This window comes from Homo sapiens, chromosome 2 (genome assembly GCF_000001405.40).
Source record: "Homo sapiens chromosome 2, GRCh38.p14 Primary Assembly".
Classification (NCBI taxonomy): domain Eukaryota; kingdom Metazoa; phylum Chordata; class Mammalia; order Primates; family Hominidae; genus Homo; species Homo sapiens.
The window spans coordinates 88,160,046-88,186,666 of NC_000002.12; the positions used below are offsets into that span (position 1 = coordinate 88,160,046).

A 26,621-nucleotide genomic window follows, 5' to 3' on the forward strand; every position below is an offset into this window, starting at 1 on the left:
AAACCCTGGTTTCAAGCACTTTTGACCAAGTACTGCCATCTAGTGGCAGTGAGTGTAACCAGCTCGGGTTTTTTGCTGGAACAAGGAACCAGAAAGTTTAATCTCAGGGTGCCAGTACCATGTAGGAAAGAAGGCTGTCAAACACCGCATCAGCCAACTTTCTGCCTGGTGCAGGTGGGTAAACAGAAACTCTCTTCAGTTCCACCTATGACTGCAAACAAAGTCACCGAGGCTAGTTCAGAGGTCACCTCCTCCGAGAAGGCTTCATTGAGTCTCTCACAGGCCCCTCTACTCTCTGTGATGTGCCAGGGCCTGTGCTTGCTTCCCTTAGAGCACTTCTCAGCTGGGCTATGTATGTCCCTCTGTCTGTCCCTCTCCTGCTCTCCAGACTATGGGCTTCTGGAGGGCAGAGGTCTTGTTTCACGCTTTCTTTTATATGCCTAGCGCCTGGCATATAAATAATATATACAAAATTACACATTATACATATATATATATATATAATTATACAATTTATGGAATAAAAATGAGTGAATGACAGAGTAAATGTCCATTACTTTAATAATGTCAGTTCCAAAAGAATGCGACATCTGCTTCTCTTAAATCATTTTGTAGACGTGGCAGATGCTGCAAAGCTTTGCCTAGAGGCTCCTGCAGGAAGAGAGAGCTTCTTCCCCAGCTGCTGGGAACTGCTGGCAGAAGGTCCTCAGCTGTAACCTTCGTTGCAAATTGTGTCAGCTGAAGAAACAGCTCGCCTAAGGCCAGCGCTCCTCCTGGGGCGGCCGTATCCAATACCTGACTAGTGTGGGAGTATGAGGGCCCACAGTTAGAGATTCACCTCTGATTCCTGAAGATGCTGTGATGTTCCTAAGGTCTGCCCTCAGGGGCTTAATGTGTCTTCCTTGTGTTTCCTTCCCCAGGCCCTGAGTAATTCACCCCATCTCTGCACCTGCAGAAACACGCCCCTCCCACGGCCCAGGACACACTTCTAGTGTCCCTGCTCCTTCTGCACTCAGGCAAGCTCAGCTGAGTACTGTGGTTTAATTGGCAATGTTGTCTGTGTTTTCAACTGTTCCTTTTGCCTCTGTATCCCTTTGTGTCTTGGATTGTTTCCTGGGTCTCCAGTGCCTTCCTTCCTTTCCCCTTCCTTTGACAAATAAATACCAAACTTTGTCTCGCGGAGTCTCACATTGTGAGAGATATAGAGTCCACAAGTTCTGAGTCTCCCCAACAGTGTTCGAATAAACGCTGCCCATCTTCACTTCTCAGACAGTAATTGTACCAAGGAGAGAGCTTCTAGACCAGAACCCAGCGAATTTTTTCTGTAAAGGGCCAGACAGTAAACACTTTAGACTTTGCGGCCTACACGGTCTATGTTGCCACTATACAATACTGTACTGTTGGAGTACAAAAGCAGCCATAGGCGATACTCAAATGGTTCCAGTATAACTTTATTTACAAATCAGGCAGTGGGCAGGATTTGGCCCATGGATCATAGTTTGCTGATGCTGTTCTAGGCAGTCAACATCTACTTCCAGCCTGGGCTTGATCTATGGCTGTCTTGCCTGACTCACGTGTTGTCTTCCAATGAGTCTCGGCCTCTTGTAGTCTCAGGCTTGTTCTTCATGACCCAGAACTATGTCATCCAGATGTCCTGTATAGTACCTGTGTCGACTTGAAGTTCACCTAAAGTTTTCCAGTCACCTGAAGTAATAAATTCTATGCTGACCTTGCCCTATTTTATGGTGAAAGGAAACCAGTGACTTTCTCCAGTGTCTGGTAGTGATAAGCCTATGCAGAAGAATTAAGCCCGAGGATTGTTTTAGACAAAGTGCTAAACAAAGAGGGTTGTTTTAGACAAAGTGCTTAGGGAAATCCTTTCTAAACAGGAGAACTTTGAGCAGAAACCTGGCTGCATTAAGAGAGAAGATCTCTAGGGGAAGCCCGATCCAGGCAGAAGGGCAAGTGAATGCAAAGATGTGAGGTGGCGATGTGTTTGTCACGTGGAGGAATAGTCAGGTGCCATGTGGCTTGAGCAGAGCGAGCAAAGGGTAGAGTGTAGGGGATTAAGTTAGACTTTAATCCTACACTTCTAACTGCCTGTGAAAATCAGCTTTCCAAAAACACATGTGCTGTAGCTCTGGTTATTTCCTGAAATATCAATCCCGGCCCGTTGTTATGAACAATGCCAAATTCTGTATTAAGAACTCATGACTTGCCTGGGCACAGTGGCTCACACCTGTAATCCCAGCACTTTGGGAGGCTGAGATGGGCAGATCACGAGGTCAGGAGATTGAGACCATCCTGGCCAACACGGTGAAAACCTGTCTCAACTAAAAATACAAAAAAATTAGCCAGGCGTCGTGGTGGGCGCCTGTAGTCCCAGCTACTCAGGAGGCTGAGGCAGGAGAATGGCGTGAACCCGGGAGGCGGAGCTTGCAGTGAGCCAAGATTGTGCCACTGCACTCCAGCCTGGGCAACAGAGTGAGACCAAAGAACTCATGACTTCACTAGCACATTCATGAGCTTCTGTGTTGGAAATTTTTAGGTATCTGAACAAAGGCTGTTTGCAAACACTGTACTGCAAACATCGTACTGCAAACATCATATTGACATCACTCTTCCTCATCATCCGTAAGAAAGTACCTGTATAAAGGGCTCCTTCTCTACCATGCCCGCAATCCATTAGCTATTTCTTTAGCCACCTTTATTCAAGGCAGCTTGTTAGCTCATTACTCTTCATTATGACAAACAAATGCATAAGTTCTCTAAATACATCCACAGACCACTGGATCAGAATCACCTGGGGCACTTGTTAAAAATAAAGACTCTGGGGTCCCTCTCACTGATCATGTAAATCAGAATCTCAAGGTTGAGCTCACGAATCAGCATTTTAAATAAGCTTCCTAGGTACTTGCTACACAAAGTGTGATCCTCAGACCAGCAGCATGAGTCCCTGGGAACTTTTAGAAATGCAGAATCTGGCCAGGTGCGGTGGCTCATTCCTGTAATCCCAGCACTTTGGGAGGCCAAGGCGGTGGATCACCTGAGATCGGGAGTTCAACACCAGCCTGGCCAACATGGTGAAACCCCATCTCTACTAAAAATATAAAAACTAGCCAGGCGTGGTGATGGGCGCCTGTAATCCCAGCTGCTCGGGAGGCGGAGGCAGGAGAATTGCTTGAACACAGGAGATGGAGGTTGCAGTGAGCCAACATGGTGCCACTGCATTCCATCCTCGGCAACAGAGTGAGACTCCATCTCAAAAAAAAGGAAAAAGAAAAGAAAAAAAGAAATGCAGAATCTCAGGCTCTATGCCAGGTCTAGTGAATCAGAATCCACATGTAACAAAATTCTCAGGTGTTGCCTTTGCCTATTAAAGTTTGAGAAAAACAGGCCTAGATGTTTCTTCTTACATCCTGGAGTGTGAGAACCACTGATTTAATGCTATTAAAGGGAGACAGCAGACTTTTTCAGAATAGGGTCTACACTGAGATTTGGGTCCCAGGAAATGGTTGCTTGGCTTGCCCAGTAGAAAAGGAACTTATGCAGTCTGCAGGTTCCCTTTCTGCATGTGAGACCGCTTCAATCTACAAAGATTTTCTAGTTTTCAATGTATCCAACTGCAGAAGTGTGCCCCCTTTCTGAAGCTTGCAATGTCCTTGCTGACAATTGTTTTCCAGGAGTGTTTATCATGGCCACCGGTTGCGGAATTTCATGTTGGTATCAAATCCACTTTTGCAGGCTGGCTCTGTGCTATTAGTGATATTCAGGTGGCTGGAAGTTTATGCAAGTCAATGTTGTTTTGTACGTGTTTTATTCATTCATTCAACAAGCATGCACTGAGTGTTGCTAGTTACTGTTCTAGGTGCTGAGGAGAGTGTTGAATACAAAAAATAAGTTCCCACTCTCACAGAGCTTCCATTAGAATAGAAAGGGGGAAAAAACTAACAAGCACATGAATCTGATAGCAATAGTGGTATGAGGGCAATAAATCGGCAGCACGATAGAGTGACTATGGGCAGATGGGCTCTTCGGGTGCTCTAAGGCCACTCTGAAGTTTTAAAACTATTATCTCACTCCTAGAAAAGAGAGGTGGCCATCACACCTATCAAAACCAACACTTATTAAGAGTTCAAGTATGTGGCCCAAGGGCTGTAGGCACAGTGGTGAACGGGGCAGGCTTCTGATCTCAAGCAGTTGATGTTCCAGCAGGAGTTGGGCTGGAGGTGGGCAATAAACAAAACAAAATATAAGGAAGGCAACTTCAGGCTGCAGTAAGTGGAATAAGGAAAGAAAGAATGGCGATATCATAGAGAGAAACAGGGAAGGGAGAATGATCAGGAAATGTTCATTGAGAAGGTGATGTTAATGCCGATGCCTCAGTCGTGAGAAAGAGCCCGTCATGGAAGACCCTAGGGAACAGCATTTAATTACAAGGAACAGCAGTGCCCAAAGATGTGAAAAAGCTTGGCTTGTGTTAGAAAGGAAGAAAGCTAAATACTACTCGAGCATCACAGTGGGTGACGGTTGGAGAGTTTCAAGGTGAGACTAGAGAAATCACTCAGGGACACACGGGCTCAGAGATGAATGGTGGAATGGCGATGCGAATTGTGGAGGCTTTAATCACTGGTGTGCTGGGACCAGTTCTGCTGCTGGGAGAATGGACTGTGAGGTGGAAGGGCAGAGATAGTAGGGTGTAGTAGTGGGTAGGAGGTGGAGGTGGTGGTGGTGGGAAGTGGACCATACATTCTGGGGGTAGAACCCATGGGGCCTGCTGACTGATTGAATATGGGTGATACGGGAAAGGGAAAAATCAAGAAGGCCTGCTTGGGGGCCTCAGCAGCTGAGCCAATGGCAGTGCTGCTTACAGAGTGGGGAAAGGGTAGCAGGGAGAATGCAGAGTTCTGTGTAGGGCATGTTGCATTGAAGATGACACGGGCACTTCATTTCATACTCTAGTTTTGTAACAATTGTTTATGCCCCTTACACTTTTTTCTTTTTTGCTTCGCTTCTGTCCTGTCAGTTTCTGATAGAAGAGACGTAGCAGTTAGGATATTGTTTGGCTCCTTGCAAGAGAAAATAAGGTTTAGACAAGCAAGTACAAGGCTTGTTGAGTTGCTCAAGGAAGCCACCAAGGTCCCAGGCCCCTTCTATCTTTCTGCTCTCTTATCATTAATTTGTGGCTTTCTTCTTCATGATACAAGGTGGCAGGTAGCTGTGCCTCCGGACATTGGAAGAAAATTCTCCATGAATATTTCATAGTTTTTCATGGGTCAGGCTTTCTGAACAGAGGAAGTGTTTGGATTGCCATGGCCTTAGAAACCGAAGACAGTATCTCCCTAAAGGTATAGAACTCCTAAGAGATCTGGAGAGTTAAATTCCTCTCTTTTTCCATCTTGGAGACATTTCTTACAATCCAGGATGATCAACCAAGTGATGCCTTCCTCTTCTCCCTTGAAGGGTATTTCTTTAATGAGTAATCTCTCCCTAGAGGGAAGGATGAGCAGATGTACCAGTGGCCTCTGAAACTCCTAATTTGGGGATGTAAACTCTGCTTTTACTTAATTCTATTCAATAGGGATAAATGGGTAGACATGTCTTTCCTATCTGCTTGAACAGAAGTATCTTTGAATTTAACACAAATGCTTTCAGGCATACAGAGCAATGCTTAGCATGGGCCAAGGGAAGGAAAAAGGCATGACTGGAAAACCAGCACCCAGTCCTTATTACAAACATCTCTTATAAACACACACTGCTCAGATGGTGAAAGAACAGCCCCAGAAGTAAAAATAACTACAGAACTGTTTGTCCCCTTCTCAGATGTATTCTGCTGGTTTCTCAAAAGCTATTGAGTAAAACTAGATATCAGAATACTAAAAGGCATCTCTCATCTGTATTAACTCTGCAGAATTCACTGCTATTTAATAAATTCAGCAATGGAAGAATGTATTTGGAACAGTAGGAAAGAGTACATAATATTAATACATATGAGAAGCTCCCAGCAACAGAGGATGCTTTGTTCTCTGAATTTTAGAAATGATTTCTAAAGTTGTTTACTAACGAATTAAATCATGCCTGAATCAGGCTTTCTCTGGTGGTTTTATTCTCCCAGTGGCAGCAGCATGCTCCTTCCCAGGACTCAGTCTACCCTGCAGGCCTTAAAAGCCTTCCTCTCTGGGCAGCTGTTTTGGATAATGCAACCCGACTCCTAGCCAATCAGTTTTTATATTTTTTGTAGATTTCAAATACAATATAATTCACATAGCATAAAATCCACCTCTTTAAAGTGTACAATCCCATGATTTTTAGTAAATTCATACAAATTTGTACATCCATTCTCACTAATTCCAGAAATTTTAATCACCCCTAAAAGAAACTATGGAATCATTAGCAGTCATTCCCTATTTTTCTCTTGCCCAGCCCCTGGCAACCACTAATCTATTTTCAGCCTTTATAGATTTAAGTAAATCTATATGCCCAGAACAAGTTTCTGGGTATTACTTATAAATAGAACCACACAATATGCAGCCTTTTGTGTCAGGCTTGTTTCACCTGCATAATATTTTCACGGTTCATCCATGTCAGTATGTATTCATTCATACTGTTCATCAGTATTTCATTCCTTTTATGGCTGAATAATTTTCCACGGTTTGGATAGATCACATCTGTTTATCCATTTTTCAGTTCATGAACATTTGGGTTGTTTCCACATTTTGGCTATTATGAATAGTGCTGCTACAAACATTCTTACGCTGTATTTTGCATGAACCTATGTTTTCCATTCTCTTGGGTATATACTTAAGAGTGGAATTGCTGGGTCACATTTTGAGGAACTGCCAAATTGTTTTTCCAAAGTGGCTGCAGCAGTTTACATCCTCACCAGTAACGTATGAGGGTTCCAATTTCTCCACATCCTTGACATTTGTTATCTTTTTTGATTCAAGCCATCCTAGTGCGTGACAAGCGGTATCTCACTGTGGTTTTGATTTGCATTTACCTAATGATGAATGATGTTAAACATCTTTTGATGTGCCTATTGGCCATTTGTCTATCTTCTTCAGAGAAATGTCCATTTATGTTCTTTGCCCATTTAAGACTTAGATATTTTTATTATTGAGTTGTAAGAGCTTTCTATATATTCTGGATACTAGATTCTTATCAGGTATATGATTTGCAACTATTTTCTCCCACTTTGTAGGTTGTCTTTTCACTTTCTTAATAGTCCTTTGATGCACAAAAGTTTTAATATCGATGAAGTTCAATTTATCTGTTTTCTCTTTTGTTGCATGTGCTTTTGGTGTCATATTTAGGAAACTGTTGCCTCACCCAAGGTCACGATGATTTAAACCTATGTTTAATTCTAAGAGGTTTATAGTTTTAGTTCTTATACTTAGGTCTTTGATCCATTTTGAGCTAATTTCTGCATATGGTGTGAGGTAGGGGTCCAAACTCACTTATTTGTGTATGGATGTCCAGTTGTCCAGTTATAATTTATTTAAGATTATTCGTTCCCCATTGAATAGTCTTGACATCCTTGTCAAAAATCAATTGATCGTATGGGTATGGATTTATTTCTAGATTCTTAATTCTATCCCATTGATCTGTTTTTCTATCCCTATGCCAGTACCAGGCCATCTTGATTTACATAGATTTGTACTAGGATTTAAAATTAGGAAGTGTAAGTCCTCCAGATTATATTGGCTACTCTGGGTTCCTTGCACCTCTAAATGAATTTTAGGATCATTTCTGCAAAGAAGGCAGTTGGAATTATGCCAGTCAGGTTTTGCTTGACAATTTGGGGCTATTTATTTGGCACTCTTGTTACTGAGTCAGGAACTCAAGAAGTGAGGGTGACTCAGGGTACTTAAACTTAAATATTACCCCATTTCCTCAAACCACCACCACATATATCTGGCAAAATGATGTATCATCAATTTAGGAGTTCAAAAACGCTCAGAGAGAATAGTGTCCTGATTTGGAATGTCATCTTCTCTCTCTTCCGCCCTGCTGTCTTTGCCCAGCTGGGATACCAGAAGCAGCCTGAGTTCTATCCTCTGCCCTGCACAAAGGCTGGAGGACTTTTAGCAGGTTGCTTTCTTCTCCAGAAGTCCAGGCCCTAACCTAATCCTTAGCAAGGGATCTGGTCCCTAACTCCTACATCCAGTGCATGGTGACAAAGGTAAATTCTCCTGTACAGCTTTGGAGAAGCCTCTCTAAAGATAGCTCTACCTGGGTCACACAGAAGAAACAGCACTGCATGGACCCCAGGGCTCTGCTTCAGCATTGGCTGGAAGATCGTTGGCTTCAACGTTATAGACAGCTAAGCACTCTAATCAATAAGGTTGAAAAGAAAAAAACAAGCGGTTGCTAATCCTACAAAAACTAAATGTTGATACCATGTAGAAGTCTCTGAGAACTCCACAACCCTACTGTTGCTTCGCGATTCAGAATTCTTTCTTCCTCATGGGCCAGAAACTTCCTTGCAGAAGTTTCTGTTCTCTGCGGCTGTACTGTTCTTTATGTGCCAGGCAGAGATTCCTAATGAACCCTGTTGTTCCCTGAGCGTTTTGCTTCTCTCTTTTCTGGGGAGTTAAATTACAATTCACAGAAGAGCTTCTGGCCACTCCTCCTGCCCACAGAATCACAAAGGCCTGCAGGCCCGTGTAAGTGTGGCAGAGGGCTTGTGGGAGAGGTCCGTGGAAGGTGCATCTGTCCTTTTGCAGACTCTACTGGTTGAGTCTGTAACACACGCTGTAACACACATGAGTGCTGTAAAACACGCTGCTGAATCTTATTTTTGCCATCGGCCTCAGTTTCCCTGGCCTCTGAGTGATTAAGTACACCTGATAGAAGGGATGAAAACCCTTTGGGGGTCCCTGCCTGGCCTATACCCGTCTCTCTTGGAATGTCCCCTCTGACCCCTGTGTGAACTCTGTGACAAGTCCTCAGCCCCAGCTTGGGACAAGAAGGCCAATCCCATTAGCTGAGCAGTGACCAGTCTCTCCCTCTCTTTCCAGAATCTGAGACCCACCCAGACTAGGGTCAGTCCATGGTAGCTGCATGAACCTGTGTGGCTATGTCAAGTGGGCACCGTGTATGGGCTGAATTTTGGAGAACAGGTAAGTTGAGTAAGCAGAAACCGCAAATGTAGGAGGATGTCAGAGATAGGAGGAAGAAAGAGGGGGGAACAGGCAACATCAGAGGGCCACTGGAGGCCCAGCTGGGACTGCCAGAGTGACCTGGCCTACCCAGGACTAAACCTTTGCCCGAACCTCTCTGGTCTACCTCCTCTAATTTTGCTTCAGTGGGATGGGCCTCAAGAGCTCAATGTGAATCCAGGGGCATTTGGGCATATCTAGAGGGAGTTTTTGTTGTTGCTGTTTTGTTTTTCCTTGAAGTTCTTGCCATTTTTTTCTCTTAAAAGAATGAATGGGGGTGACGGGCTTTTATCCTAGAATAGACCTACGCTTAATAAAAAGTGTTTCTCAAAAAATATGAAGAATTTTCATACCCCCCAAAACCACTGAAAATTTTTTATAAAGAATTTTTGGAGTGGAGCTGATGTCACCTATCTGGTGAGTTCTGAAGTCCTAACATACTAACCGCAGTTTGAGAAGCAAGGCTCTCATGCTCTCCAGCTCTCTGATGCTGCAGACATGAGGCAAGAATCTTAAAGGAACGCAGGGCCTTTCTTCTTCACACCTTGCTGTCCATTTTCTAAACTGAAAAGTGAGGTTCTGTGGGGCTCACAACCCTGCAGCGAAGACTCCGAGGCTGAACGTCAATAAAGCGTTTACTAAAGCGCCTTAAAAAATGGGCCGCGGGGCTGGGCGCGGTGGCTCACGCCTGTAATCCTAACACTTTGGGAGGCCGAGGAGGGCGGATCACGAGGTCAGGAGATCGAGACCATCCTGGCTAACACGATGAAACCCCGTCTCTACTAAAAATACAAAAAATTAGCCGGGCGTGGTGGCGGGCGCCAGTAGTCCCAGCTACTCGGGAGGCCGAGGCAGGAGAATAGCGTGAACCTGAGAGGCGGAACTTGCGGTGAGCCGAGACCGCGCCACTGCACTCCAGCCTGGGCGACAGAGCGAGACTCCGTCTCAAAAAAAAAAAAAAGGGGCCGCGGGAGGGGCACAGGGCTTCCCCCTCGTGATGCTTCCGGGATCGCGCACCGCTGCTCACGCACTCTCCTCTGTCCTGTGTCCTCCGTCCCCCGCCCCCCGCCCCATCCCCAGGTCCTTCCCACTGCGAAGCTGAGAACCCTAGCTCCGGCCCCGACCGGAAGCCCCACCGCACCGTCAGGGACGCGGACTCGGGAGTGCGCACATTCGCAGCCCGGGCAGCCCTGCTGCGCACCGGGCCTCGCGCCCCGCGCCCCGCGCCCCGCGCCCCGCGCCCCGCACCGGTAACGCGCGCCAACCTCGCCGCCCTCCCGGGGTCGTCGCGGGCGAGATTTCTGAGCTCCGGACGCTCTCGCGGCTCCGTTCGGCCCTGATTCCCGCAGGCCCACGTCCGTCGCCCCGCCCGTTTCTGGAACCTTTGGTTCCGGCGCTCGGACTTGAGGAACTTGGGAGGGTGGTGCGGGGGGTTTCTGATGCTTTGCGTTTTCTGCGGGATTTGAGCAGTCCTTTGAGAACCCCGAAACTGAAGTCCGTGGTGTTTTCAGGGGCTGGGAGTGGAATCTCAGGCGCCTGCGAGTCCCTTGAGGATTTAGGCCGCCCTCCTTGGCGGGATGACTGGCACCGGTAGCCTCAGAGAGCCCGGGGTCTGCCTCCACCCCTAGGGGTGCCGTCGGCTCCTGGGGTCCGAGTCTCCGCCCTGTCCCACCCCTTCTCACAAAACCCCTCCACCTCCCTGAGGGGCGCCTGTCTACCCACCTTCTTGTTCCCAGCCTTCGGGCTACTCCTATTTTCCGTATTTATTTATCCTGGTTATTGGTCAGAGTTTTTCTGACCTTCTCTACTCTGGAATAGGGTCCAGAGGAGTGGCAAGGGAAAATTATTAGAATATAAAATCCCAGGGGACACGTAGTCCGGGTCTCCATCCCATGCTTGGAGCCCTCATAGAGCAGCCCAACAACAGCACTTGATTTTCTTCCTCAACTTCACCACCTCCTGTGGTTGCTATTTCCGCCTCTGGCTTACATTGAACCCAACCATGTGTATTTCTCTTTAGCTTTGCTGAATTGGCCTGGGAATGCTGCCCCTGGAAGGCATTGGACAGAACAGGGACAGTCCTGTTGCGTGAGGGGCATGGGTATGTGCTCATCAGGCCAGCTCCTTCCATGACCTGCTCAGAGCCCCGTGCCAGCCCCTCTGTCCTCTGTTCCTGGACAGTTGTTCCATATCCTCCTTCCCAGTGCCCCAGGTGTGATATTCCTTCCACCCAGGGAAGGGCATTTGAAAAATATTTTCTTTCGCTGTACCTTACTGCCTTGCTCGCTCCTGCCCTCACTCCTGCGATGGTTTCTTTGGCAGCTCAGTCGTAGCGTTTAAGTCTGGTCCTATGAAGGCCTTTCTGTTACTCCACGGTCTTGGGCAGTTTGCGTTGGCTCTAACTCTTACCACAGAATTGCAGAAATTCCTCTCTTTATTGAGGGCACCGCTAGCACCTGCCCCCCGACCCTGGTTCTGTTTTGTGAAATACTGCCTGCTTTGCTTATCCACTGCAGTTAACTTTTGGAGTTACCCATATTTCATCTCTTTGACATGGACTCCCATACGGAGTGACCTTGTATCCTAGGTTGCCAGAGAGAGAGTTCTGGCTTATACCATTGTCCCAGCATAATCACTTTCAAAAGATTCATGGTTTGTATGATCAAGTTTGTCTCTGTCTCTAAGTGAGATACACTTAATATTTGTAGTTAAGAGAGTGGCACGTGGCAGCCCACGTGAGACTTGCACGGGGGCCCACAGATGTCAGAGCCACAGACTAGGAAATGAGAATTCCTCCAGGTCAGTGCTCATATGCCTCATGTAGGTAGAGAGCTTTGGGTGGCTTTGCCCTTAGAGGGCAGGGGATCCCCTCCCACCCTGGCACAGAAAGTCCAAGCTAATACTGAGAGCTATGTCTAGTCAAATTCATCCCCATAGTTACTGTGGGGCGTCAAAGCCAGGGCCCCTAAATTCACTGTCATGATCCAGAAGAAGGTGTTCAGAGTTCAAGCCCAGCTCCTTGACATGGCATCTGGCTCCTGGGAAAGTAACTGATGTGGAAGTGTGACCAGTGTTAGGCCTAAGGGGTCCTGGGCTTCCCCAGGAACCAGAGAACTCAGTCCATGCAGGGCCAGTTAGTTTTAAAGACTGCATATCAGCACTTATAACGGTCCTAGGATTAGGCTAAGAGGTAGAACACTGGTTATCCACTAGGATGACCAACCATCTTAGTTTGCCTGGGATTGAGGGGTTTCCTAGGACATGGGACTTGCAGTTTTAAGACCAGAAAACTCCTGGGCGAACTGGGATGAGTTGGTCACCCTCTTCTCAACCCTGGCTGCACGTTAGACTCTCTTGAGGAGCCTCTCATTTAGAGTCTAATTTAATTGATTCAGGTAGTTGTATTTTTTTTAACGCTCTGAGGTTGATTCCAACAAGCTACCACAGTTGAGAACTACTAGGCTGTAGACAGTGTTTCCAATAACCATTGAAGATGTTTGGTTTTTGAGCAGAAGTGGACCGAGACGTCCCTGAAAGGGGTGTATGACTCTGTGCGTTGGTCTTTCGCCTTAGCAAGAGGGATATCAAGCTGGCAGTTGCCTACTATTGCTATTATCTGTCCCCACCGCCAGGCCTTCTTTCTCATTGGTGAGGACCAAGCTTTCTCTTTTCCCGGCATGCTCCGATACCCTCTCCCTGAAGACAGGAGGTCAGTGGAATTGCCTCATTTTGATTGGTGGAATCATGATTTACACAGTTGTAGATGAAGCTGGCATGAGACTTGATACAGGACTGCCATCTCTAGGTCTGGGACATGTGCCCCGGAGACTGGTGGTCTAGAGGCTAACTGTGAGACTGTGTGTGCTTTGGCTTTGCCCGGTGGGGTGTGGGAGCTTGGAGACCAGGTGCTTCTGGGACTGTCCTCTCTGCAGGCCTCCAGGATCATGTGGTATGTCAGCACCAGGGGCGTAGCCCCACGGGTCAACTTTGAGGGGGCCCTCTTCTCTGGCTATGCACCTGACGGGGGCCTCTTTATGCCTGAAGAGCTCCCACAGTTGGACAGAGGGACCCTGTGCCAGTGGAGCACACTCTCCTATCCTGGCCTGGTGAAGGAGCTGTGTGCCCTCTTCATTGGCTCTGAGCTCCTTCCAAAAGATGAATTAAATGGTGAGTGCTCCCACCTGTACTTTCACTCTTCCAGCCCCTGCCAGCTCAGTCTACAGAATTGTAAATCCATCACCAAACCACTAGGAAGTCTCTAGTCACATTTCTTCTCAAACTTTGTTTTATTTCTTTTCCTGACTCTAGAATCCCAGAATTGAAAATATTCTGAAAGATTTCGTCCTGTCTCCAGGGAGATGAATGTTGAAATTTTCTTCAGAGAATTCTTTCTTTCTCTCTCTTTCTTTCTTTTTCTTTAAAAAAAAAAAAACAAAAACCTCTTCAACACTAGGGATTTTAGAATCATCTTGAGTGACTTGAATGTTGGGGTGTTTCCTTCCTTCACATAAAGCACCCAGACCCCCAAATTGCTATTTTATTTTTTGAATGTTAATTCCAGAAAGGACTTCAAGACTGTCCTGGACCAGCTTGTCTTAAGCTCTACTGTGCCTATGGATTCCCTGGGGGATCTTGTTAAAAACCAAATTCTGATTCAGTAGGTCTGGGGTAGGAATGAGAATTCTGCATTTCTGTCAGATGTCCAGATAATACTAGACTACTGGTCCATGAGCCACACTTTAAACAGCAAGAACAAAATCCATAATGTAATGGTGGTGGTTTGGGGTTGGGGAAGAGAAAGGACCACTTAAAATGCAGTCTGATGACCAGCAGTGATGGCATTGCTTGGGCACTTGTTGGAAATCCGAGATTGCCTCAGACTGATTGAACCAGCCTGCATTTTAACAAGATCCCAGGTGCTTGGTTTGCCAGTGACAGTTTGAGAAGCTGTGCTCTAGGACTGCTCCAGTCCTGCCTTAGGGAGGGCTGTATATCAACCATCCAAAGGCTCTGGCGTCACAGGTGTGAGATTTAGTAATGTAAGAAACAAAAAGCTTCCTATCTTTAGGAAGGAACATTAGATGGGATGCGACATTGATGTGTTATGTAGCTATTTAATTGACCCCTGATTGGAATACATGCTCACGAGACAGTCAAACAATGAAGAAGTATAAAAAATGAAAAATAAAGTCTTCTAGTACCAATTCTGGTCACTGAGGAAATCACTATAAGGAATCTATGAACAGTTTGGTGCATGTTTTCCCAGACTTTTTTCTAGGTTTTTACAATTGTATTCAAAAATGGTATCATTTAAGATGAAGATTTTTGGCCTTTTAGTAGCAGGAGTTGGAAACTTTATATTCAGAGACTGAGAGGGAACTTGAGAAAGAGACCAGGCCCCTCATTGGCTATCCACCCCACTACCCTCACAGATCTGATCGACCGAGCCTTCAGCAGATTCCGTCACAGAGAAGTGGTCCATCTGTCCAGGTTGAGGAATGGGCTGAACGTGTTGGAGCTGTGGCATGGCGTCACATATGCATTTAAGGACCTGTCCCTGTCCTGCACAACACAGTTCCTGCAGTACTTCCTGGAGAAGAGGGAGAAGCACGTCACTGTGGTTGTAGGTGTGTTTTTGGGGCACAAACGCAGAATACCTGAGTGCTGTGACTGTAGGGTGTCCACCTATAGGATGCTGTTCATAGAGCCACTCAGGAACTGTGGTACTGGTTCTTCCAGAGCAAGGTTCCTAACATTTTCTGGTGCCATAGACCCCTTTGCCAGGCTGATGGAGGCTATGGAACTTTCTCAGAGTAATGTTTGAAGTGCACAAAATGCTTAAGATGATGTGGTTCACAAGTTCACTTATGTCCTGAATTTTATCCGTGGATCCATGGACCCTAGGTGGAGTGCTAGGTTCATATCATCCAAGTATTTGAAGTAGATGTTGCTATATTTGACAACAGTGCTTTGGGGACCATTTCTTTCCTCGTTCATTCCCTTTGTTCTAAAGGGGGAGAGTTCTCCTTTCTTCCCATCCAGGAACATCTGGGGACACAGGAAGTGCTGCCATTGAGAGTGTTCAAGGGGCAAAGAACATGGACATTATCGTTCTGCTGCCCAAAGGTCACTGCACAAAGATTCAGGAGCTCCAGATGACAACGGTGCTGAAGCAGAACGTACATGTGTTTGGAGGTGTGTGCTGAGGCAGAGGCTCTAGGGACAGTGCAGCCCTGCCTTAATTGGGTTTGCTTTGGGAGATGGACTGGAACAAAATTGCACAGTTGGGTAGCTGACTGTCCTCCTTTCATCATCATATTCGAGGTTGGTGTGTATGCCTTGGCTCAGCTCTGGGCAGGGTTCTGGCTACACAGTAAACTATTGGAGGTGACAGATGCATAAACTGATACCAACAGTACAACATGCTAAGTATGGATTGAAAACCATACCCCAAAAAATGCCACCTCCATGCATGTCCAACCTGCAAGTGTCATGTATGTCAGCAACCATGCAGAGTCATAACCTGAGCCAAGTGATTTGGGTTTTTTTCCAAGACTCTGAAGTTTAGAGGACACCAACATGTTAGATAATTATTTTAAGAGAATGTGTTGCCAGGTGTGGTGACTCATGCCTGTAATCCCAGCACTTTGGGAGGTCAAGGTGGGTGGATCGCTTCAGCCCAGGAGTTTGAGACCAGCCTGGGCAACATGGCGAAACCCTGACTCTATAAAAAATACAAAAATTAGCCGGGCATGGTGATGTGCTTCTGTAGTCCCAGCTACTCCAAAGGCTGAGATGGGAGGATCGCTTAAGCCCAGAAGGCTGCAGTGAACCAAGATCATGCCATCATTGCATTTCAGCCTGGGCAGCAGAGTGAGACCCTGTCTCAAAAAAAAAGGAATGTGTCATTATATGTTGACAGTTCCTGCTGTTCTTTACAGTATGGGAACAACTAAGCCATGCACTGGTTATCTGGTCTAAATATTTAAAATAGGGAACTACTCAGTGGTACCCACCATTGGTTATACTGCTACCTGAGTCACATCATGAGAATCACAGCATTTTGTGCTTGGAGAAAGGCAAAAGCCATCTTTTTTAATATCAGGCCATCTATTCCTAATGGATTTAATCATTATAGGGATTGAGAGTGGAGAAAGATGGGGTGAGTGTGGGTGGAGCTGTACATTTTTATTTTTACCTCTCACACCCCACTGGACCCCAGGTAGCTGCAAGGTGGGGACTTGGATTAAGTTTTGGCCTGGGCGAGCTGTGGCCTTGGGCAGGCTTTCCAGGAGGCCTGGCTTAGTTTGGTCACTCACCTGACAGAACAGCAAGTGTGATGGCAGAGAATGTTCCTTCTACAACTGGCCTGGCTTCCTGTGATAATCCTGTAGAGGTTATTTTTGTATAACATCAGCTTTGACAAGGAGCAAAAGCACAGTGAAAACAAACCTTATCCAAAGGAGCAGCATAAATACCCTCTGTCAGTTTGTTCAAGAGCAAGCGAACTGCCCCTCTGCTCTGTTCTTTAGCAGGTGCATACACTTGCCAGTGAAAAGTCCATGGTTTAGCTAATGCAGGTGTTGGTGTCATCTTACACATTTGCCTTGCTAATTGCTCATATTTGGCTGCATTTTCCTGCAGTTGTTGCAAGACTTTAGTGCACAAGATTCAGGCTCCTGAGGGTCCTTGTTGTACCCTAAGCACCAAAATTGCTAGTTACAGATCTAGGACTGTTTTTTCCTAGAATCAAAGCAGAGAATAGCGTTCTGTGCCTCTGTCCTGCCTCCTACTCCCTTGTCTTTTTTGTACACAGACCTAAGGGTGTGAGTGAAAGCTCCATTCCTGACTTGTGGATTGGAGAACAGTGCCCAGTTGTAAAGTAATGGCAGAAATGTGGAATCTGATGAATGCAATAAATCATTAAATGCTGGACCTGAAGGGGGTGTTTCTGTTGTGTACATGTTCAAGAAAATGAGAAACTAAGACAGCAGACTTCACAGAAATCAGTTTTGTTTATAAACGACACTATTCAGATCCTTTCTTTCCTTTCTAGAGCTTTCTGGTTTGGTTTTAAGGAGGATGTGTGTTAGTTCAGGATATAACAGCAAATATGTATTTTTCTGTAGACTGGTAAGCTTAGGGAGTAGGGATGGACCACTTAGATTATTGTATGTGGACAGCTGGTTTATAAAGTCATTAATTTCCATGTACATTGTATACTTGGTTCTTCTTAAGCACAGAATAATCAGCAAGTGCTAGGTATTTATTGTTATTTGAGATGCTTTTGGCTAGAAGTAGCAAAAAATTCAACTCAGACCAGCTTCAACAAGAATATTTTCCAGCTTCCGTAACTGGAAGGCCAGGGGTGGAGTGGGCTTCCAGTTGTTTGATTCAGTGACTCACAATGCTCTCAGGAACCCAGGTCCTTCCCATTCTCTGCTCTGCCCTCCTCAGTCCTAAGGCTCATTCCTCTTGTGGTCATATGGTGATTGCTTGAGGTAACCAGGTCTCTCCCTTCCTGTTGCTCTTTTTTTTAAAGCAGTGAATCTTTTTTTAGAACCCAGCTAACATGTCCTTGTGGTTCACTGATCGGAATTTATTCACATGCTCATTGTGGAGCCAACCCTGACCCCATGAGAGTACCAGGCACTGATTGGCTTGGTCCTGGCAAAGGAATGGAATCACCATGACTGGCCCCGGCCATTCTGGGTACACACATGGATCTAGAGTCAGTCCCCCAGCTCCATTGCTGCTACACAGTGTTGAAGGGCAGAATGGTTAGCACCCTTAATGCCTTCTCTGGCACGTTTCCCAGTAAATTTCACCCCTCTTCCTTCCAAGTGTAGATCCAATGGAGACATACTCGGGTATCAGATAAGAAATCAATATTGGCTTGGTTGCTCATTGAGCTAGACTGGAGGATATAACTTGTATTAGTGGACAATTCACCATAAATTTATCTGGTAATTCACTCATAAATTACACTGATGTACACACCCAGCTTCAGGGAGGGGAAGTTCTGTCCATGGAAGCTTACCTGCCATGTAGGAGCAGAGAGCAGAACACCTACTCTGTGATCTAAATGAGGGCAGAGGGCAGACCACAGGGGAATGGTGACTGTTTCCACCCTGGCCCCTGATAGAGGACTGTGGAGGAAAGGCTACGTCTCTCACCGTTTTCCAATCAGGCACACAGTTTCTCCTCTGCGGAAGAGTGGGGGAAGTGGGCATGGATTACAAAGAGAAATTCTCCCAGGATCCCAGAAGGTTGCCATTTGCTATCTTATTTTAGATAATGGTAGAAACATTGGAACTGGTTCTGGCTACCCTTTCTGTTCTAAGCTAGGGCAGATATTTAGGAACACAAGAATCTGAGGCATGATTTCTGTCCTTGAGGAGCTTAATACTGAGTCTAGATAGTGAGGCCAAGCTACGTGAAAGTAAAGAAACCTAGGCTGCGCGAAGGTCCCAGGAGGGTGGGCTCAGCCTGGGAGGGCCCTGTCGCAGGTGAGTGCTGACCTCCTGGGGGTTCTACATGCTCCTGACAGCTGCCCTCTTCTCTCCCCCCTGGCAGTGGAGGGAAACAGCGATGAGCTCGATGAGCCGATCAAGACTGTGTTTGCCGATGTGGCTTTTGTCAAGAAGCACAATCTGATGAGCCTGAATTCGATCAACTGGTCCCGGGTCCTGGTGCAGATGGCCCATCACTTCTTTGCTTACTTCCAGTGTACGCCATCCTTGGACACACATCCCCTACCCCTGGTGGAGGTGGTTGTGCCAACAGGGGCTGCCGGTAACCTTGCAGGTAAGGAATCCCCGGGGCACAAATGGGCTTTCCAGAAAAATGCCTGTGGCCCCAGTCCTTCTAGCTGCCCTTTGGCTGCAACTGTGAGGAGAAGGAAGGTGGAGTCCCAGTTCTGAAGGTGATGGGAAACCCCACAGAAGTTCCCAGGAGATTTCCCCCCTCATTGCCTGGGGCAGCATCCTGGGATCCTGCTGCCGGCAGCAGAGGGTGATGGCTTAACCCCACATGCTCCCACAGCCTGACCTGATGTGCTCGCTGGCTCAGCAGAGTGTGGAGAGGCAAGGTCAAGGGTCAGCCGCTATGGCTGGCTGGCAGTGCCCTCAATCAGAAATGTGGACTTTGCTCCCAGCCCTGGCCAGCTACCCAATGTGAGGGCAAGCGGCTTGACTGGCACATTTGTTCCCATTCCTGGACACACCACCCTGACCCCGTGTGAGGTGGAAAGAGTTCTGGACTTGGGGTTCTGGCCCCATTTCTGTCCTTTACTAACTGAGAGGCTGTGGAGCAGTCCTTTAGACTCAACCTTTGAGCTATAAAATGAGATTGTGTCACTCATCCTATCTCCCAGGACTGCCTCGATGAGCGAATCAGATTCCTGTGTGCATGCAAACTTTGTAAGGGCAAAGTGCTGTACAGCTGTGTAGCATTAAAATCATTTTCTCTAATAATCATTAATATTTATCAAGCACTTAGTATGCAACTGGCACAGTTCTAAATGCTTTTCACATATGAACTCATTTATCCACCTGTGGAGAGGACACTTTCCATTTTATAATGAGGGAACAAAGGCACAGAGAAAGGAGTCATGCCCTGGTTACAGAGCTGGGCCAGAAGCGCGACCCAGGTAGTCTGGCTGCAGAGCTGGTGAGGCTAGGGGAATTACTGTTCCTGATAGTTCCGGCAATGGCATTGGTTCTGATGGGCACCAAGGATGGTCTAGCTGAGAGCACGGAAGCATCTTAGTGGTTAGGAAGCTTCCTGACTTCTGCCACTAACAGAAGGGTGGAGAGAACAGCGGGCTGGCAGGCAAAGAGGGATGGGCTTCTTTGCCACTCATGGGATAAAGCCTACCATGCTCCCCATTCCCATCGCCCTCCAATTAGTGATGCACTGAGTCGTGCGGCCAGCCGCCCTCTGCAGCCCAGAGCCTACCACAGTGCTCGATACAAAATAAACACGTGACCAACATTTGCTGAGGGTGTTCCTATCCATCTTTGCTCTGTCAGGAACCAACTCTTTGGCTTTAAGACCCTGGACCTTCCTGAGCCTCCATTTCTCCGCTGTCAGGCAAGGATATCATGATGTTCTCATGAGGATCAGGTGAAATAAGAAAGAGAAAGTTGAGATTAGTAGTTCGAGACCAGCCTGGCCAACATGGTGAAACCCTGTCTCTACTAAAAATACAAAAATTAGCCAGGTGTGGTGGCGCATGCCTGTAATCCCAGTTACTCAGGAGGCAGAGGCAGGAGAATCGTTTGAACCTGGGAGGTGGAGGTTGTGGTGAGCTGAGATTGTGCCATTGCACTCCAGCCTGGGTAACAGAGAGAGACTCAGTCTCAAAAAAAAAATAAAAGTGTTTTGCCAGGTTAACAGTGATGTTGGGTGGTGTGGTTGTCCCTAACTCCCCTTAGCTACTCACCAGAGATAAACTGCTCACGAAAGCACCATATGTAAAACCTTCCTAAACAATGTCACGTGTCCGGGCTGTACACCTCTTAGGGAGAGGAATTCCTTGCTTGTTCCATGCAAACAAGAACTGCTGTTGGGGTGGACTGAGGTTACTGCTCTGGCCTCCCCTGGTGCCTGTGCAGGGAGAGTAGTCTGAAACTGCTGGCTCTAGGAGGCTGAGTCGAGGGAGGGCATGTGCTCCGGACTTAGGCATATTTTGAATCCTGACTCTGACACTTAACAGGCTTTGGACAGGTCATTTAGACCTCTTGGAACATTCATTTCCTCTTCCAAAAATTGGTGTTTTACAGTAGTCAGCCATCTATTAAATACTTTGGCAGCTGGCAGGGGGTTGACACATAAAACAGCCTCAGGGCTGGTGATGCACTCCTAGTCATTCCCACGCTCGCTCTCCTCTCTCCTCTCTCTCCTCTCTCTCTCCTCTCTCTCCTCTCTCTCTCCTCTCTCTCTCCTCTCTCCTCTCTCTCTCCTCTCTCTCTCCTCTCTCTCCCTCTCTCTCCTCTCTCTCCTCTCTCTCTCCTCTCTCCTCTCTCTCTCCTCTCTCTCCCCTCTCTCTCCTCTCTCTCTCCTCTCTCTCCTCTCTCTCTCCTCTCTCTCTCCTCTCTCTCTCCTCTCTCTCCTCTCTCTCTCCTCTCTCCTCTCTCTCTCCTCTCTCTCCCCTCTCTCTCCTCTCTCTCTCCTCTCTCTCCTCTCTCTCTCCTCTCTCTCTCCTCTCTCTCTCCTCTCTCTCCTCTCTCTCTCCTCTCTCCTCTCTCTCTCCTCTCTCTCCCCTCTCTCTCCCCTCTCTCTCTCTCCTCTCTCTCTCCTCTCTCTCTCCTCTCTCTCCCCTCTCTCTCCCCTCTCTCTCCCCTCTCTCTCCTCTCTCTCTTGCTGTGTGTGTGTGTGTGTGTGTCTGTAACAGGTTTATTGCTAAATGATTCACATACCATTCACACATTTTAAGTGTATGATTCAGTGGTTTTTAGTATAATATATTCACAGACTTGTGCAACTATCACCATAACCAATTTTGGAATGTTTACATCACTCTAAAAAGAAACCCTGTACCCATTAGCAGTCACTCTTCACTTTTCTTTAGACCACCTCCTTCGCCAGCCCTTGGTAACCACGAATCTATTTTGTCTCTATATATAGATTTTCTTATTCTAGACATTTTCTATAAAAGGAATCATACAGGATGTGGTCTTTTGTGCCTGACTTCTTTCCCGTAGCGTGATGTTTTCAAGGTTCATCCATGTTGTATCATATATCAGTACTTTTTCGATTGTATGGATATACCATACAGTGGTATATTTTGTTTATCAGTTTATCAGCTGATAGACATTTGGATTGTTTAACACAGCTATTATGAATAATGCTGCAGTGAACATTTGTGTACAAGTTTTCATGTGAACATATATTTTTACTTCTTTTGGGTACATAACTAGGAGTGGCATTTCTGGGTTATATGATAACTCTGTTTAATATTTTAAGGAACTGACAGACTTCAGTTTTCCAAAGTGGCTGCACCATTTTGTCACCACCAGCAATGTGGGAATTTTCCAATTTCTCCACATCCTCACCAACACTTTTTATTATCTGTCTTTTTGATTCCAGCCATCCTAGAGGGTTTGAAGTAATATCTCATGGTTTTTGTTTATATTTCCTTCATGACTAATGATGTTGAACATCTTTTCATGTGCTCATTGGCCATCTGTACGTCTTCTTCGAAGGAATGCCTGTTCTTTTGCCCATTTTTAATTGGGTTATTTGTATTTTTATTATTGAGTTGCAACAGTTCTTTATATATTCTGGATACAAATCCCTTATCAGATATATGAATTGCATTTTTCCCCATTCTGCGAGTTGCCTTTTCATTTTCTTGATAGTGTCCTTTTTAAAGCACAAAAGCTTCAAAAAGCACAAAAGTTTCTTAATTTTGATGAAGCCCAATTTACTTTTTTCTTTTTGCTTTTATTTCTAAAAAGCCATTGTTCTCCTCCTCTCTTGTCTTAAGCTGGGTACATTGCTCAAAAGATAGGCCTGCCCATCCGTCTGGTCGTGGCAGTGAACCGCAATGACATCATCCACAGGACTGTCCAGCAGGGAGACTTCTCTCTCTCTGAGGCTGTTAAATCAACCTTGGCATCAGCTATGGACATTCAGGTAGGCCTGGGGGAGGTGTGCAGATCTGGCCCAGGTGTTGGTTGGGTGGGGCTCGATGGGGCTGAGATCAGTCTGGACCTGAAACTGACTTTCTGCTCAGGTGCCCTACAACATGGAGAGGGTGTTCTGGCTGCTCTCTGGCTCTGACAGCCAGGTGACAAGAGCCCTCATGGAGCAGTTTGAAAGGACCCAAAGTGTGAATCTGCCCAAGGAACTGCACAGCAAGGTCAGTCACTACCCACACACCACAGAGAAAGGAAAGGGTACAGCCACATAGCAGACTTGGGGTTTGGAAGTCTGGTCAAGGGAAGAGGACACCTGTTTCTTGAGTACCTGCTATGAGCCCACCACTTTTACGGCCACTTTACATGGAATAATTTATTGAATGAGGAGAGGTAATAGAGAACATGGTTTAGAGTCAAATGAGCTCAATCCCAAGTGAGCTCTGAGACATTGGGCTAGTTTCCTAAACTCTGTGCCTTGGTTCCTTCGTTTATAAAATGGGGATAATAAGAATGCCTACCTCATAGAGTTGTTGTGAGATTTAAGTCAAATAATATATGTGAAGCACTTTGCATACTTCCTGGTAATATATGGCTTGATACATTAACTTTCTTTTACTTATTATTATTGTTAATTTCCAATAATACTGTCAACTGGAAGCCATTTTGCCCATCCAGTATGAACCGAGACCATTGTTTCCGTTGAGCTCTTCCTTTCTTCCTTTTCCTTCCTCTCTCTTTCCTCCCTCGCTCTCCTTCTTCCCTCTCTCCTTCCTCCTTTCCATCTTTCTTTTTTCTTTCCCTCCCTCCTTCCCTTTCTCTCTCTTATTTTTCTTGGAAAAGGAGAAATTTTATTCCCTTGGAATGATAGGAATCTAATTGGGAAGGATTGTTTTTATTTTAATGCAACCTGGTGATGGTACTTATTCTGTGTTTAAAAAAAAAAAAAGGATTTCTGAAGCTGCCTTTAATTTTCTCTACCACATTCCCACTGAGTGGCCATCCAGACTGTGCATACCTCCAGTGACCAGACTCTCAGTACCTCATACCAGCTCTCACCATTACAAAAGTCTTTACATTGAGCTAGAATCTTCTCCTTCTAGCTTACACAGTCTGATTCTACATCCGAGTGTTTCCAGTATTTAGAGAATCCTCATTTACCAAGTTAGTCTTCCCACTTCCTTTAGTGGTCCCTTGCATGACATAATTTTGCAAGGTCAATATCCACCTTAAAGTGTTGTTTTCAAAGTTGGATGCAGTTCTCTAGGCTGAGCCATACCAATGCAGACTGGAGTGGAATTCCGGCCTTCTGGAATCTGTGCTTCTTTTGATGCACCCAAAGATCAATTTATTTGGTTAATGGTGTGTTTTGACATTCACATTCTTTCTCCTCATATAAATGAGGTGCTCCATGAAGACAGACACCATACCTCCCACTCCTTCATTCTCTCTCTGGCTATACACATAGGAGACACTTCACTTGCTGGAATGGCATTCATGCATTCATGTTATATATCTACTGTGAGCGAGGAACTGTGCTAGGTGCTAGAAACACAAAGACAAGTAAAATACATTCATTGTCTGCTGGGAACCCTAATTCACAGCAGGTAGCTATATGAAAATCTATGATACCAGCCGGGTGAGATGGCTCACGCCTCTAATCCCAGAACTTTGGGAGGCTGAGGCAGGCGGATCATTTGAGGTCAGGAGTTTGAGACCAGCCTGGCCAACATGGTGAAACCCCGTCTCTACTAAAAAAAAAAAAAAATTAGCTGGGCATGGTGGCACATGCCTGTAAATCCTAGCTACTTGGGAGGCTGAGGCAGGAGAATTGCTTGAACCTGGGAGGTGGAGGTTCCAGTGAGCCAAGATCGTGTCACGGTTCTCCAGCCTGAGTGACAGAGAGAGACTCTGTCTCAAAAAAAAGAAAAGAAAAAAAATCTGTGATACTCTATGATCCCTACTGCAGTCAAGTATATGCAGGGTGTTTGGTGTATTGTAAGCATGCAATACATTTTCAGAAGATGATCAAATAAACCAAACACACCGAGGGAGCACAGACAAGGGAATCTTCCTCTGTCTGAAGGAAGTAGGGAGGGCTTCCTGGGGGAGGTGCTCTGTGAGCTGAATAGGAACTGACAGGAAGGAGGTGTGCCAACAACCAAGCACCAGACGTGTGGCTGCCCCGAGCCTTCTGGCTGTGGCAAGTTGTTGAACAAATCTATATTTGCTGATTAGGAGCCAAATCCCAACTAAATGGATTGACATAAAACTCAAACGTATCTTTCCTCCAAGTTGAGTGAGTCAGCTCAAAACTAGGAGGCCAGATTTTTACTGTGAGCCACATCTGAGCCATTCGGTCTGAATGTCCCACTGGATCCCTGGGGTTTGTGTGGATCTGTGGTGGAGAGTGGGGTTTTGTCATCTTTCCCTACATCCCCCCCCCACACCTCATCTTTCTGACCTGGGACCCTTCAGCTTTCAGAGGCAGTGACATCCGTGTCAGTGTCGGATGAAGCCATCACCCAGACCATGGGCCGCTGCTGGGATGAGAACCAGTACTTGCTGTGCCCCCACTCAGCGGTGGCCGTGAACTACCATTACCAGCAGATAGACAGGCAGCAGCCCAGGTACAGGCAATGGGGGCCTGGGCCACTGAGGGACCATTTGAATTTCAGGGGCCCTCTTCTTCTCCAAGCAGTGGGAGAGACAGGACTACGAAAAAATGGCTGTAATGGAGTGTGATGGGTGCTGTGTGGAACTGTGCCTTGGAAACTGTGGGCCCAGAAGAGGGAGCGTGACAGATATCCCAGGGACAGCCATGGTCAGAGGTGGTGGCTGAGCTGGCCTCCAACCAGGAGGAGCAGTTTGCCAGGTAGCGTCATTGTAGCAATAAGTTCAAGGTGCCAATTGTCTGTCTGTGTCTCTGTCCTCCATACCCCCCCATCCCTAAACTTCCTCTGTTTCTTATTCCTCCTCCACCTTCTCCTTTCCCATCTCTCTATTCTCTCATTGTCCTCCGGGTGCCACCTGCCCCCATCCCCACAGCACTCCCCGGTGCTGCCTCGCCCCTGCCTCTGCAGCCAAGTTCCCGGAAGCTGTCCTGGCTGCTGGCCTGACCCCTGAGACTCCCGCGGAGATCGTAGCCCTGGAGCACAAGGAGACACGCTGCACCCTGATGCGGAGAGGTGACAACTGGATGCTGATGCTTCGGGACACCATTGAGGACCTTAGCCGACAGTGGAGGAGTCATGCCCTCAACACCTCCCAGTAGCCTGGCTGGAGGTGGCTTTCTTTAGGCTTCAGATCCCAGGAAGATGCACCTTCTGAGCTGCCTTGTGCACCCTCCCCATTAAGCGTAGGTTAGGAGGTTTCCGGGAGGCTGCTCAGCTGGATCTGGAGCCAGCTGGCTTTGCTCCGTTCCCTGGCTAGTCTGTGCCTGGTCACCAGGGAGGCTGAGTGAGGGGCTGTGAACAGTTGCCGGAAGCACCCCCTCCCTCCCCGGCCCGTGCAGCAGTGTCTGAGCTGTAGTGAAAGTTTCAGGGCCTGCAAAAGAAGAGGCTTGGGCACAGGACTGACCATGGCTCCAGGGGTTTAGGACCCCAGACCTGTGAAGGTGGGAGCAGCTCACCACCTTCACGCAGGCTTTGTATGTTCTCTGAGCCTTAGTTGATTTTGGCCCCCAAACCAAATCCAAAGGTTCTGGCCCACCTTGTCAGAGGCTTCCACCCTGCTCACATGTTGGGAATCCCTGGAATAAAATGCTTGTTCAGTGTGATGGAGCGGCACGTCTCTGGGCAGGTCCCTTCCTAGAAAA

At 46.7% G+C, this 26,621-nt stretch overlaps 1 protein-coding gene across 21 annotated transcripts, besides 2 other annotated features; it reads left to right on the forward strand.

Moving 5' to 3' along the window:
• Positions 10,168-10,237: a silencer, noted in NCBI's record as "silent region_11729". NCBI's record gives its function as "represses an Ori minimal core promoter by ATAC-STARR-seq in GM12878 lymphoblastoid cells {active_cell/tissue: GM12878}" and the evidence as "EXISTENCE:reporter gene assay evidence [ECO:0000049][PMID:35858748]".
• Positions 10,301-26,582, forward strand: THNSL2 (threonine synthase like 2). Of its 21 annotated transcripts, none has more exons than NM_018271.5 (9): positions 10,301-10,411; positions 13,094-13,328; positions 14,594-14,788; positions 15,204-15,356; positions 18,738-18,968; positions 22,654-22,802; positions 22,903-23,028; positions 25,283-25,434; positions 25,853-26,582. In NM_018271.5, the coding sequence occupies exons 2-9, from the start codon at positions 13,106-13,108 to the stop codon at positions 26,076-26,078; spliced, it is 1,455 nt and encodes a 484-aa protein (NP_060741.3). In that variant the 5' UTR covers positions 10,301-10,411; positions 13,094-13,105; the 3' UTR covers positions 26,079-26,582. The 21 variants fall into 21 exon arrangements, with proteins under 21 accessions (NP_060741.3, NP_001231605.1, XP_024308743.1 ...); NM_001244676.2 differs by lacking the exon at positions 25,283-25,434 and adding an exon at positions 25,506-25,679; XM_024452975.2 differs by having other exon boundaries at positions 10,301-10,396; positions 13,093-13,328.
• Positions 25,761-26,578: an enhancer, noted in NCBI's record as "H3K27ac-H3K4me1 hESC enhancer chr2:88485325-88486142 (GRCh37/hg19 assembly coordinates)". NCBI's record gives its function as "activates a minimal SCP1, AML or CMV promoter by ChIP-STARR-seq in naive H9 embryonic stem cells {active_cell/tissue: H9 hESC(naive)}" and the evidence as "EXISTENCE:reporter gene assay evidence [ECO:0000049][PMID:30033119]".

Bases quoted from the DNA above. Each gene is read 5' to 3' on its own strand.
- THNSL2 (NM_018271.5), top strand. From the start codon at position 13,106: ATGTGGTATGTCAGCACCAGGGGCGTAGCCCCACGGGTCAACTTTGAG. The intron at 15,357-18,737 runs GTGTGTGCTGAG...CCCCCCTGGCAG, and splicing joins GAACGTACATGTGTTTGGAG to TGGAGGGAAACAGCGATGAG. The intron at 22,803-22,902 runs GTAGGCCTGGGG...CTTTCTGCTCAG, and splicing joins CATCAGCTATGGACATTCAG to GTGCCCTACAACATGGAGAG.